Source organism: Homo sapiens, chromosome X, assembly GCF_000001405.40.
Source record: "Homo sapiens chromosome X, GRCh38.p14 Primary Assembly".
Lineage (NCBI taxonomy): Eukaryota > Metazoa > Chordata > Mammalia > Primates > Hominidae > Homo > Homo sapiens.
Window position 1 is genome coordinate 37,344,320 of NC_000023.11, and position 12,103 is coordinate 37,356,422.

Sequence of the window (12,103 nt, forward strand, 5' to 3'; positions counted from 1 at the left end):
TTGTTCTGAAATTATTTTCTAATTCTGTGCTAGTATATAAAATGTGTTTTTTTAAGTTATTTAATTTCCAAATATAGGAAATTTTTCTAGATATGATACTGCTACACATTTCTAATTTAATTTCATTGTAGTTAGAGCACATGCTTTTTATTTAAATCCTTTTAAATTTATTACCCTGGTTTTATCATATAATCTGTCTTACTACATGAATGTTTACTAAGAATTTTTGAGAAGATACAAAAGAAATACAAAAATTAAACCCTGCTTTCCTGCAGTTAACTAACCACATGGGAGTTAAAAATGTAAAAGTGCCGAACAATATGACATTCAGGAAGGGCTAAAATTACATCATTAGTATGAATTGAATACATAAGTGATTAAAAGTCTGAAAAGAAAAGATTTATCAAAGTAGGGGATCATTCAGGGTATGCACCCCTCCAATATTTTTAGACATGAGTCTTGAAATAGGTGTTTGGCATAAACTATTGAATTGGAAGTTGGTGAAATGATTAGTAGCACAAGGGATTTTAAAAAGCATTGGCAATTCATGAGCAGAAGACAGCGTGGACTCTTCTTCCTCCTTCCTTTTGTTCTTTTTTTCACAAGGTTTTTTTCCAGCCCAGAATATTTTATGCTTTGTGATTAATGCTAGAGCTACACTGTCTGTCTCTCCACTCAAAGATCTCTCAGTGAAGAGGAAGATGTAGGCATAAATATATTAAAGCATAAGCCTTAGGAAGGGGGATGCCAGTACAGAGATAGCAAGCAGAGTATCAATAGCTGATTTACTTTGCCTTAAATGGCACCAGGAAGAATTTACATAGTGGCTGTCTTTGAGCTGGATCCGTAAGAACGTGTCTGCTAGAGAGAGAGAACGGGAAAGTCCTAACAGCACGAAAGTATAAGGTAAATACAGCTAGCAGCTTAGGGTGCATATGATGGGTAGGGGAATGAGTTTGCAAAGGTGCAAAGCAGCCAGATAACAAGATTTGATTGTGCTGAAAAAGTTTGCATTTTATGGTAAAGTGGACAGGAGTCATGAAATGTCTTTAAGTAGTACAGTGGCTTGATCACATTTGTGTTTATAAAGCTATCTGGCAGAACTGGGAAGGGTGGACTGGATTCGGGAGAAACTAAAGACAGGGAAACCAGCTGGGAGACCATGTGGTAGCTCAGGTGATTGGTGATATATCTGAAGTGAGGCAGGAAAGATGAATTAATATGTGAAACATGTAAGAGGTAGAATGAATAGAAAACTGAGGACAGAGAAAAAGTGGTCATGAGTGATTTACCACTTTTAATGTGTTTGACGGGGTGCATAGTATTTTCATTATGAAGAAAATCAAATGCAAGAAGGAAGGCAGATTTTGGAAGAGAAATTGAGTTTCATTTCTTATACCTTGAGGAGGAATAATCCATTAGCCAGGTAACTAGAGATCTGAAAATCAGGAGAGGGATTAGTGTGAGAGATTTGATTTGCAAGTCATTAATATTGACTTGACATCAGTCAAGAAGAGAACTGGATTTATACCTAACTGGTATGTCTAAGGGAGACTTGGACTATTGGATGAAGATTAGGCTGAGATAATTTATGAGGCCTTTTCTGGGCCTTTGAGTAACTATAAAGTGAAAGGAGGAGTGGAATAATATGGGGTAACTGGGAGATGGATGCTGGTGAAGTAGACAGAAGATCTGGAATACCAATTCTAAAAGTCTGGTTCTTAAGCCTGCCTTATTTATTTAACAAAAAACATATCAGAAAAAAAGTAATTGGAGGAAAGTTAAGCTCTCATCCTACATTAATTAGAATATTTTATGGTTTATGCAAGAGAAATTAACTTGAGCTAGCTTCAGCAAAATAAGATACCTTCTTATGAGGATTCAGTGGTTCCTCATAGAAGCCAATGATAAGAATGCCATTGTAACTATGAGGCAGACAACCATTGAGGATCCAGGCTCAGCTGCACTGTGTCTACCTCTTTCTGTTTCTCCCCTCTTCCATCCACTCCAGATTTGTTTTCCTAAGATTCTCCTTATGTTATAGTTCCTAAATTGACACATTATAGCTTCAGACACCCAGTGTTACCAATTCCCTGCTACTATTCTAAATCCCCAGGGAAGTTCTGTGGCCCAGCATGGGTGAGATGCTCCATCCTGATCCAGTTAATTCTGTGTGTGTTTAGAGGGGCCAAGGGACTCCAGGTCAATTAAATAATAATATCTGGGGATGGGATCCAGATATCAGTATTTTTTTTACAAGTGTTTCAGTTTGAAAAGCAGTGGCTTAGGCTTTGTTACTTTTATGTAAAGAAAGACTGTAGTAGGGATATTAATGCCCCCCAAAAGATATCCACATGCCAGTACCCAAAACCTGTGAAAATATGTTACATGGCAAAAGGGAATTAAAGTTACAGATATAATTAAGGCTGCTAATCATTTGCCCTTCAGATAGGGAGACTGTTTTGGATTATCTTAATGTGCCCAATATAATCAGAAAGGTCCTTACATGTGGAAGAGGTAGGCAGAAGTGTCAGTGTGTCAGAGTAATATTATTGTTGGCTTTGAAAATGGAATACAGCCATGAATGAAGGAATGTGGGAGGTCTCTAGAATGTGGAAAAGGCAAGAAAAAAGATTCTCCCAAAAAGTTTCCATAAAGGAACTCAACTCTGCTGACGCCTTGATTTTAGTCCAGTGTGACTCTTGTCAGACTTCCTCCAGGACCATAAGATAAATTTGTGTTGTTTTAAATCATGAAGTTTGTGGTAATTTTTGTACAGCAGCCACAGAAAACTAATACACAGACACTGTTAACCAGCTTTGTTAATACTTGAATACTTGGGGAGGCAGGGAGAGGGAGAGAAAGAGGGGTCAAAGGTAATTCCAAGGCTGTATTCCTTAAATACAGTTTCGATGGTGGACATCTTTTTTTTTTTGTCTGTCCATTGCCTGTCTCTTCTGAAAACGGCATCTCCCCCTTACTGTTTGTTTTCATTTAGAAATTTTTCTCTTTATTTTTTTTTCTTTAACCATGTGGTTCTAATTGGGTCCCATTCTTATGTCACATACGCATTTTCTCTTCAGGAGTGGTTACGGTACTCAATTCTACCCAATCAGATGTTTTAACTGTTGCTTTAAAAACTGGAAGTGAGAGAAGAGAGATACTTTCTCTCTGGTAGGAACTTGGTAGGTGTGAGCAACTTGTAACAGGCTACGGTGCCAAACCAGCAGAACATGACTTTGAGATGTTCTGTTAGAATGACCCTGTCTGTATTGAGAGCCTGAGCTGGAATTCAAAGCATTCCTGTTGCTGGTTCCATTTAATCCTATGGCCAATCATAGACCTACCCTTTCACAACTTGGGTTACACAATAACTTCCTGTTTTTGCCTGATCTACTTCAATCTAGTTTTTGTCATTTCAACCAAAATATCCTGAAAAATTTAGACAAAAAAGAAAAAAATAATCAAGTGAAAAGTTTTAAAAAAACACATATGCACATTTATTAAGGATGCAAATCTTACTTTTATTAGCCTAGCAATTTTTTTAAGAACATGTATGTGAAATATTTTACTAGTGAAATGAATAGGACAAAGTCCTGCTTCCAGGCACTTACAGACTTACTAATCCTGCAAAATTTGTGCCTACATTACCAATATACCTTTTGGCAATATATCTCTCTACATCCTCCCTAGGCTTATTTGACAAGTGCAAGATAGAAATGAGTTCTAGAAAATCTGATTTGTAAAATATATGAATGGAAGACAAGAAAGGTTAAATGGAAGAATTTTGGGATATTCAGATCTTTAAGGGCAATCACCAAACTCTCCCATAAAATGCTCCCATCACAGTTAAAATGCTTGCTAGGAAAGACTATTGGTGTGGTCCTGTGGCAATTCTTTTATTCTTAATAAGCCAAATGTTTCTTAATTCCATCACAATTAAAGTAAAAAGAAGGGGAACTTAGTTTGGAATAAATCACTTCAGGTCCACAGCCCAATTCACTTTGGATTCACTCAGGCGTGTGTTTATTTTAATAGCTGATCTGAAAGCATGTGAGATGCCACAGCTGACCAGACTGTAAACAGAAAAGCATACAAGTTAAAACCAAGCACGCATGCAGCATGGAATAATAATCAAGCTAGACTCCTTATGATGCAAAATGCCAGAAAACCTCCAAGCATTAGGTCAAAGTTTACACAATAGCAAAAGCCTTTTATTCTGTTTCTTAGAGGGGCTTGTAGAAGTTTAAGATTCAAGTTCTAAGATAGCTCTACCTAAAAAGCGAGGTCAAAGATGGGTTTTCTTCTCAAGATATTTGGGTAAGTTTGTACAAGACGGTTTTTTTTTTTTTTTTTTTTTTTAGAAAAAGCAGATAGTTGTCACCAAGAGTTGTCCGGAAACAGTGGCAAGGGAATTATTCCTCAAGGAAAGTGCAATTCTCTGAGCTGTAACAGTGGACAATGGTCGAATAGTCACCAACCACGATCTGGGCTCACACATAGCAAAGAGGTATATTAACTAGGATGCCCTACACAGGCGGTCTGTGGATGAGAAATCCCTATGCCCCTCACTTCACCAGGGCTGAAGAGTACGCGATGAGGAGAAATGACTAGGAAAAGGAATAATGTGTGGTGAGGTATGTATGCGAAAGAGAAAAAGGCTGGCGGGGACCCGCGGTGGCTAGGAGAGACGTGGCGGCCCAACGGCTGACTACTTGGGCCCGCGCCGAGCCAGGCTTTCTCCACGGTGCGTGTGGGAGTGCACAGAGGGGCCTCGACGGCTTTTCTGTATGTGTTATAAATAAACCCCAATAGTGGAAAGCTCCAGCAGGATGCCCTGAGCCCTGGGTCTTCCCAGCAGAAGCGGTGGAGGATCCGCCCCTCGTTTCCCACCCCCGCGCCCCACCCTGTTCCCGCCCCTTCTCTCTTAACCCCGCCCCAGCCCAGCCCCCGCCTCTTTCCACCTCCCTTCCAGTCCGCTCCCGGTTCCTGGCTCCAGCTAGGCTCGGCAGAAATAGGAGCGCGCAGGCGCGACGTGCGGCTCGCAGAACGGCGAGTAGCGGAGCGGGACCCGCTGTGAGTGTGGCGGCCGCGCTGGGTTCCTAGCTGGGGAAACGTGATCCAGGCGAAGCGCCCCAGGAAGGATTGGGGTGTGTGGGGGTGACTTCGGTTCTGCGAGGAGAAACCCGTCAGATATGCGGTAGCGTTGGTAGCGACGCTGCCTGTGGGTGTCCGGCCAGGGCCGCGTGGGGAGCGGAGTGCGTGGTAGCGGGAGTGGGTGAGGGTGGGTATGACGAGAAAAAAAATTGAAGGAATGGGGTTTACAGGCTGGAAGTCCGCACACAGACTGGGCAGGACCGCGAGGCTTGCCAACGGTGCTGGAGGGTGTCCCAGCTTCAAGTTCAGTCCCCTGCTTGGTGCCCATGAGGGACGTCCCAAGCTCATCCCTTCCTCCAGCGCTGCTTTCTCTGGTGCAGAGTTGCTAGAAACATTCCCCGTCGGAGGGGAAAGGATTTGGAGGCGGTGGGCTGTCGGCCCGGGCTAGTCCCAAGGAGGGCGTGGCGTTCGTGTGACTTTCCTTTACCCACCCCCGGGAATGTGTCCCTCTTCTGATCCATTGTGCCCGTGGACATTTTAACAAAGGCTATGACTGTTTTGTAGGCAGTGGCGGGTGACAGTGGGAGGGGGTGCGTGCGAGGTCGGTCGCGGTGCGGCCCTGGGGGATGGGAGAGCGGGGGGAGGGGGAGGCGGCGTGGGGGGAAGTGAAAGGAAGAGAAACAGTCTTCCTGCTTCAGGTTTTTCCTTCTTCCTGGTCCGCTGAATTTGATCACTGGTAGGAACAGCCCCAAGAGGGATATGACTGGAAAGTAGTGTGTGCGCGTTTGGACTCTGGCTCCAGCCACTGGTTTTTGTGATTGTGCTGTGCAAGTATTTTCTACGAGTCCCTTTAGGAGAAAAGCGAAACTAATGGGATTTGAGAGGAAATAATTGAATGAAAGGATGAAGAGGTTGAGTGACAAAACTTAGAGCTTAATTATTTGTCTGTTGATGGTCATACTATAAAGCCAGACTTTGAAGGATGCGAAGGTGTTCAAGCCAGGGTAAGTGAAAAGTTGGTTAGGCTACTGTTGATTGTTTCAATCAAGAGTGGATTATTGGGCATGTGTGTGGATGTGCTGTCAAGATCTTGGGCCGACTCACTTTAGAACCTTTGAAAATAATATTAAGGATACAAAACATTAGGGCAAATATTGTAATATTGGATAAAGCTCCATATGCTTTCATTTTCAAACTTAGGGACTTTTATGAAAGATAGTATATGTGTTCCCAAGCATAGATGTTGATATTTTTACTCATTTGTTTTAAGTTAATACAACAAAATAAACTGAACTTCCTCCTCTCCACCCCTTTCCCTCGATTGTAAATCCCGTTTTATAAACGTTTACTTTCTGATCTGAAGTATACTTAAAAACACAATTACCCCGCCCAACCCCCACCCCTGCACCAACCCCAGGCATGAGGTGAACAGGATTTCTTCTGGTTTTATTGTTATGTTATTCTTTCTTTTTCTATTTTCCCAAATTTGGGGCAGGTGGAGGGCGGGGAGTGTTAGGGATGCCTTTTCTCTTTTCTAGTGCCTGATGAACTCCTATTCATCTTTCTAGACTTAGCCTGATTCACTTCTTGAAAAATTTTGCCATCTTCTCCAGAGTGAATTAATCACACCCTTTTCTGTTAAATTTATATAACTTGCCTTATTTCTCCATTACTACTAGAACCTCAGTCTTTTGTGTTACCCTTGTACCTAGAGCTGCCTGGCATGTGATAAGCACCTAATAAACTAACTTACAGATATATATTAATAAATGCTGTTAGAAAGATGGTAATTCATAGGCCGGGTGCAGTGGCTTACTCCTGTAATCCCAGCACTTTGGGAGTCTGAGGCAGGTGGATCACAAGGCCAGGAGATCCAGACCATCCTGGCTAACATGGTGAAACCCCGTCTCTACTAAAAATACAAAAAAATTAGCCGGGCGTGGTGGTGGGCGCCTGTAGTCCCAGCTACTAGGGAGACTGAGGCAGGAGAATGGCATGAACCCGGGAGGCGGAGCTTGCCTTGAGCTGAGATCGCGCCACTGCACTCCAGCCTGGGCTACAGAGCGAGACTCCGTCTCAAAAAAAAAAAAAAGAAAGAAAGAAAGAAAAAAAAGATAGTAATTCATATTGCATAAAGTTCATGGGATAATACAAGAAATTCAGAATTCTGAAATTGTATTTAATATTTGAGCAGCATTATTTGGAATATGGATAAGTACTGTGTGGAAATATGTTCTCATGTATTAGTCATAGTTTATCCCTCTAAAAAGAGGTGCAAAAACTCTACAGATAAAGGGAAAATAGGGATCAGAAAAAGGTGAAGTTTTTAAAAAGGCCAGTTTCTGATACTGAAACTAGTGAAATTAACTATTTGTAGAAAGACACAAATAGGTTGCTGCTGGAATTTAGGAAGTACTACAAATGAATCAGGTTGCCAGATGGTATTCTCTGAAGGGTGATGTAACTAAAGAAAGCTGTAATCTAACCAGTTGTATTATACTTCTTTTACATCTTAAAGTATTTTCGGCCTTTGGCTAATGGGTCTCTTCATGTTACAGTTCCCTGATAGGCTTGGTCTAACCATTTCTGCCAAACTGTCTTTGACATCTCTCTTAACTCCACCAGGATCACTGGCCTTCCAGTTACCTCTGGCTCCTAACAGGAATTATCTTCCCCCTGTTCCTCACCTCCAGCCTTCTTCTCCTGAATGGATATATGTATTTGAGAAAATACCATGAACAAATGATCACTTACTTTATAAAAGAATGGAATTGGTTCTTTAGTTTAAAAATAAGTCAGAATTGGCTACCTGCTTAGTCTAGCCTTCTGTGCCTGCAAAGCAGACAGAGAACTATGAGCATTAGTAACCCTTATTTTTCATTTCTCCCTTATTCATCTAAATGCAAAAGCACTTTTTTTCATTTCACTTTTAAAAATAGCATTAGTCATTGTTCCTAAAACACTTCAAGTTAGTCTCTTTTTTTGACTAAAACTCAAAACTCAGGGAGGAAGAGTAGTAGCATCCATAAAACTTTTTTAAAGTTCTACATCATCTGTGGACCTACTGACTGAAAAAATATTCCAAACCAACCATTGTGATTATACCTTCCTTCTTAAAACTTTCCTCTTAGACTTCCTTCTCATATTTCTGATTTTTTTTCTCTAATTCTTTGACCGGTTAACCTCAGTCACCTCCACAGTCTTCTCAGGGTTCTGTTCAAAACTCTTTTTCTCACTGTATGCACAAGAGTCAAGGGCATGGAAACTGGAGAAATCGAAAATTGGAGGCAAGACAAGAAGTTAAACTTTTCTTTCCGAGCATTAGTTTCCTCACTTGTAAAAATGATAATTATAATACTTACCTGATAATTAAGATCAGGTATATAGTGATGTGACGCATAATGACATTTTGGTCAACTATGGACAACATGTGTGATGGTGGTTCCCATAAGATTATAATGGAGCTGAAAAACCTGGTGACTTTGTAGCCTTTGTAATGTCACAGTGCAATGCATTACAGTATATAACACTTGATAATAAATAACTATGCTAATGGTTTATTTACTATACTATACTTTTTAATTATTATTTTAGAGTATACTTCTACTTATATATTTTTTAAAATTAACTGTAAAACAGCCTCAGACAGGTCCTTCAGGAAGGCAAGAAGAAGGCATTGTTATCATAGGGGATGATATCTCCACCCATGTTATTGCCCCTGAAAACCTTCCAGTGGAACAAGATGTGAAAGTGGAAGAGTGATATTGATGATCCTGACCCTGTGTAGGTCTAGGCTAATGTGTATGTTTGTGTCTTAGTTTTTAATAAAAATGTTTAAAAAGTTAAACAAATTAAATAGATAAAAACTTATGGAATAAGGATATAAAGAAAGAAAATGTTTTTGTACAACTGTCCAGTGTATGTTTTAAGCTCAGTATTATTACAAAAGAGTCAAAAAGTTTAAAATATTAAAAAGTTTATGTAGTAAAGAAGTTATAGTAAGCTAAGGTTAATTTATTATTGAAGAAAGAATTACATTTTTTATATATTTGGTGTAGCCTAAGTGGAGACTATTTATAAAGACTACAGTAGTGTACAGTAAATGTCATAGGGCTTCATATCCACTTACCACTCACTCACTGACTTACCCAGAGCAGCTTTCAGTCCTGCAGGCTCTATTCATGGTAAGTGCCCTATACAGATGTACCATTTTTTATCTTTTATACCTATTTTTACTGTACATTTTCTGTGTTTAGATACACAGACATCATTGTGTTACAATTGCCTGTTCAGTACAGTAACATGCTGTACAGGATTGTAGCCTAGGAATAATAGGGTATACCATATTGCTTAGGTGTGTAGTAAGCTATACCATCCAGGTATGTGTGAGTACATTCTATGATGTTGACACAACAACGAAATCGCCTAAAGGCATTTCTCAGACCATATCCCAGTTGTTAAGTGATGCATGACTGTTAACAGCTTATAATGTCTAGCACATAGTAGTGCTTTTAAAATGTTAGCTGTTGTTATTTATGTCTGCTGTTTCTTGTGAGCTCCCATTATTTCAATAGCAATTAACTTCAGAATGTGGATGTATTGATATTTCCCACCCTGTTTGAGCTCCAGTTCTGTATTTGTAGATAACTCCCATGTATTTCCAACAGGTTGCTTAGCACAGTGGTTCTGAAACTTCAGCATGTACAATAATCACAAGATGCATAGATTTCTGGACCCCATACCCAAAGTTTGTGATGTCTAGGATAGAGTCTAAGAATTTCCATTTCTAATAAGTTCATAAATGATGGTGATTCTGCTGTCCCTGGGAAAACATTGAGTGGCATTTAACTGTATGGCATTCAGACAGGTTGGTGGAGAGGAAGGGAGAGGAGAACAAAAGACCAAAAATTTATGAAAATTAAGAACAGAGTGCACTTTAAGCTGGTAGTGCTTTTTTTATTTTTATTTTTATTTTTTTATTTTTTTTTTTTATTGGGACAGAGTCTCACTCTGTCGCCCAGGCTGGAGTGCAGTGGCATGATCTCGGCTCACTGCAAGCTCTGCCTCCTGGGTTCACGCCATTCTCCTGCCTCAGCCTCCCAAGTAGCTGGGACTACAGGCGACTACCACCATGCCTGGCTAATTTTTTTGTATTTTTAGTAGAGACGGGTTTTCACCGTGTTAGCCAGGATGGTCTCGATCTCCTGACCTTGTGATCCGCCTGCCTCGGCCTCCCAAAGTGCTGGGATTACAGGCGTGAGCCACCACGCCCGGCCGGTAGTGCTTTTAAGACTGTTTAGAGTGTCCTCTAAAATGTAGAGAGGATAGGACTGACAGAAGATGCTTGGATTTGATGACCACAAGGTTTTCTTTTGTTTGTTTTTGGTGTGTTTCAGGTGCAGATTGTTGGTTTAATTATACTTCTCAGTTGGTATTATATTATCATTATTGTGACCAGGAGAACATATCACAGGTATTTGAGGTAATGGCTTTTTTGTTTGTTTGTTTGTTTTTTGAGACAGGGCCTTTCTGATGCCCAGACTAGAGTGTAGTGGCGCAAACACGGCTCACTGAAGCCTCAACCTCCTGGGCTCAAGCAATCCTCCCACCTCAGCTTCCTGAGTAGCTGGGACCACAAGTATGTGCCACTATGCCCAGCTAATTTTTAAATTAAAAATTTTTTTTTGAGATGAGGTCTCACTATATTGCCCAGGCTGGTCTCAAACTCCTGGGCTGAAGTGATCCTACCACCTCAGCCTCCCAAAGTGGTGAGATTACAGACGTGAGCCACCATGCTCAGACATAGAGGTAATGGTTCTTAATCTGGTGTGTGCATCAGACTGTCATAGGGAGCTGTTTCAAACAATACACTTAAGTTTAGTGCCCCTCCCCACAATATTGACTCATAAAATCTGGATTTCAGGGTGTGGGATCTAGGCATGAAAAAATTCCCTGGTTAAGAACCATCTCTTCAGCAATGTTGGGCAGAATATGGAAGAACTGAAAATAGTTTTATTGGTAAATTGCTGGTGAAAGGAGAATAGAAGAAAAAGACTGGAGTTTGAAGATTTTTGGAGTTCAAGAAAATGGGAATATGTAAAGGTGAAAAGCCTGCTGGAGTCAAGGAGCGATTGAATGTGTAATGTTATGAACATATAATTGATGGAATACAGTACTGGAGCAGGAGAGCAGGAGAGAATGGAATTAGTAGGTACCATAAAAAGAGAGGAGAAAGGAGTGAAAAAAGTAAGTTTAAAGATGGAAGTGGGAGAAGCTGAAAGAACTCTCTTTAAGGGAGGTTTGTTTGCACACTACTGTTCTTCAGTGGAACTTAAGTAGTCTTGAACTCTTAAGTGGAATGGATTTTTTCAAGTTTAATAATGCTAGCAAATAAATCAATAATTTCAGCTATTCCAGCTACCACTAATGGCTACAAGTGTATTTTTCTTCAACTTAGTTTGAATAATTATTTTTTGAAATTAAGTCTAGACATGCTGTGTTGTAATGTTATTGCCCTAGCCCTTGCCGTAAGACTGCTATATCATAAGTTTCATATGATTTTCATTCAGTTATTCAACAAATATTTGTATGACTGTCAATGGCCAGGCATCCTTCTAAACACTGAGGATACAACAGTATATAAAACAGTTATATTTTATTAGAAATTTCCGCCTTTGAGGCGCTTGCATCGTATTTGAGGGAGGCAGATAATAAAGTAAATGAGTAAAATATAAGAAATATATATATAATTTTCTATACATATACACATAAATATACATATATGTTAAGTGACATGGTGCTGCATTCTTTGGAGAAATACAAAGCAGGGAAGGTGAATGGGGGGACCTACAGGTATTCATCTATAGGTGAATAGGGCATGTTGGAGGGAGGTAATCAGGGAAGACTTCACTGTCAGCAAAGACTTGTAGAAGATAAGAAAACCATTTATTTGGAGGAAGAGCTTCCTAAGCACAGGGAACAGCAGTTGTAAAAGTCTTGAGGTGGG

General features: G+C 40.2%; 1 protein-coding gene across 5 annotated transcripts in view, besides 2 other annotated features; it reads left to right on the plus strand.

The window, feature by feature from the left end:
• Nucleotides 4,841-5,352: an enhancer, noted in NCBI's record as "H3K27ac hESC enhancer chrX:37208413-37208924 (GRCh37/hg19 assembly coordinates)". NCBI's record gives its function as "activates a minimal SCP1, AML or CMV promoter by ChIP-STARR-seq in primed H9 embryonic stem cells {active_cell/tissue: H9 hESC(primed)}" and the evidence as "EXISTENCE:reporter gene assay evidence [ECO:0000049][PMID:30033119]".
• The window catches only part of PRRG1 (proline rich and Gla domain 1), a 107,928-nt gene continuing 100,869 nt past the window's right edge, over nt 5,045-12,103 (plus strand). For 3 of the 5 annotated variants that reach the window (NM_000950.3, NM_001142395.2, NM_001173486.2), the window contains exon 1: nt 5,045-5,076. The gene's annotated coding sequence lies outside the window, so the exon portion shown is untranslated. Of the gene's footprint in view, nt 5,151-12,103 lie in introns of all 5 variants that reach the window. The other 2 variants (NM_001173489.2, NM_001173490.2) reach the window with 1 other exon arrangement.
• Nucleotides 5,353-5,863: an enhancer, noted in NCBI's record as "H3K27ac hESC enhancer chrX:37208925-37209435 (GRCh37/hg19 assembly coordinates)". NCBI's record gives its function as "activates a minimal SCP1, AML or CMV promoter by ChIP-STARR-seq in primed H9 embryonic stem cells {active_cell/tissue: H9 hESC(primed)}" and the evidence as "EXISTENCE:reporter gene assay evidence [ECO:0000049][PMID:30033119]".